Raw genomic sequence first — 2,179 nt, 5'->3', positions numbered from 1 at the left:
AGTTTTTGAATGCTACCATTGTGCTAGGCACTGTGGTTAGGTTAAGAATGTGGACTGATGTCAACAAACATGGGTTCAAATTTCTGTCCTGATACTTGTTGGGTGCCAACAGCACTCAATTATATACTGTATCTTATTTAATCTTCAAAACTATTCTATGTGATGGGTGATATTTTTTTCTCATTTTACAGATGAGAAAACTGAGGCTAAGAAATGTAAACAGGCTTTTTGCTCAGTGGAGTTATTTTGAGCAAAAAGCTTATTTACATTTCTGAGTCTCAGTTTCCCCAACAAGTAGCTGTTATTTTGATAACCCAGGAATACCATGGTGTGTATAAGGAAGAGGCGAGAAATGAAATCATAATGAAAGGAGGAAGTAAAGCTGTAGAACCTTAAATATTGAGCAAAGGAGTTTAAAATGTGGGGAAACTATAAGTTGTGTTTTAAAAAAATTTCAAATAAATAGGTTCTTGTTTATCGATTTAATCTTCTAATTATGTGTGAGAGTGGCATTAGCCTTCTAAAATTATGTTTCAGACACACTATGATATTTATTAACTTCATTTATAAATATTTAGTTTAGGAATATTTCCAGTATAAAGCAAAGTACAGAAAAAATAATATATTTGACACTGGGAACCATTCCCCCTTCCCCATGCTAATATTTATAACCACCTTGATGTTTTAGAAGATGAACTCGAGAGAGTGGTGCAGAATGAAATGTAGAATCCCAGAACAGGGAGGGCAGTTGGGGTATTTTAATCCTAGAATTACTGGGAGGTAATGTGGCTGTGATTTAAAGATGGGTGGGAGACTGGCTGCGAAGGTGTAGGTGTGACAGACCCCTTAAAGGAAAACTTGACAGGCTTTGATATTCCGAGAGATCTTGGGTCAAATTCCCTTTCCCAGCCCTCAACTTCATATCATTAATCATTTCTCCTTTTGCTTGGGAAAAAAATAAAATTGACAAAGTGTGACTACTAAGCAAGTTACACTAAGATGTGTGAGCAATTTTGTCAGAAATATAAATTCTGCATATTGCAGTAAAGGAAACATGGAATGTTTGCCAAGTTCTTGTGAGAAATCTGTCTAAAAATTGTGCCAGCTTGCTAAATATAGAGTTGCTACAGAGAACAGAGCCAACCTGCCTGTTAAACCCACCTCAAGTGAGATAATGGAATTATGTTATGCTGGATCTTACTCCATCAACTGCTTCTACCCCTAGTGAGTTGGGAGTGGGGTTAGGGCATCTTTCTTCCCTTGAACCATAGTTTCCCAGTGTCTGTAGCTGCCCCTTTCCACAAAAGGTGGCAGGAAGCATCTATAGGTCCTCACACATCTGAGAAAAGAAGAAATGTCATAGTCACATGGCTGAAACCAGGTCAGGCACTATCTGTATATTAATATTTTTCCAATTAAATAGTTAAGAAAGAGCAGTAGAGAAACTCTCTGAATGCTCTCATAGTGTTCCAAGATTTCTGTCTCATTGCTTCCTTTTAAAAAATAAAAATTGGGTCTGGCTCCAAGGAAAGAATCATGCCTAATATTAGAAAGCACTTAAAAATACTGGTGACTAACGGAATATAAAGGAGTTAAAATGGTTCAGGGTCTGAAGTCTATAACAGGAAGAAGCAACTGGGTAAAAGAGTCATGCGTAGTTTGGGATATCATGGAGATAAGCAAGCGAATCTCTGCTTGGGAAGGTGATTTGAGTCCTTGTGCAAGCCTGCATCTGGTTAGCACTAGATCTGAGAGAAGAACTGCTTGTGGAAGAAGGGGATGGAAAACCACTGAAGTGGATTAAATTGTGTCTCCCTCAAAGACTTGTTCAAGTGCTAACCATTGGTACCTGTGAAAGTGTCCTTATTTGGAAATACGATCTTTGCAGATGTAATTAAGGATCTTGAGATAAGATCATTGTGGATGTAGGTGGACCCTAAATCCAAGATTGGTGTCCCAGTAATAGAAAGGAGAGAGATATTTGAGACATAAAAACACAGAGACACAGAGAAGTAGGTGATGTGAAGACAGAGGCAGAGATCGGAGTGAAGTGTCTACAAGTCAGAGGACACTAAGATTTACTGGTAACTGTCAGAAGCTAGGAGCCAGGCATGAATAGCTTCTCCTTCAGAATCTCCAGAAGGAACCAACCCTGATGACTTGATTTTGGATTTCTGGC

General features: G+C 38.4%; 1 non-coding gene across 1 annotated transcript; it reads left to right on the top strand.

The window, feature by feature from the left end:
* The first annotated feature begins 208 nt into the window (after positions 1-208).
* MIR4495 (microRNA 4495) lies at positions 209-274 on the top strand. Its single transcript, NR_039716.1, has one exon. It is a non-coding gene; the product is annotated as a microRNA 4495 (primary transcript).
* The last annotated feature ends 1,905 nt before the right edge of the window (positions 275-2,179 follow it).

Source organism: Homo sapiens, chromosome 12 (genome assembly GCF_000001405.40).
Source record: "Homo sapiens chromosome 12, GRCh38.p14 Primary Assembly".
Taxonomy (NCBI): Eukaryota; Metazoa; Chordata; class Mammalia; order Primates; family Hominidae; genus Homo; species Homo sapiens.
This window is presented reverse-complemented; position numbering and strand designations above follow the sequence as displayed.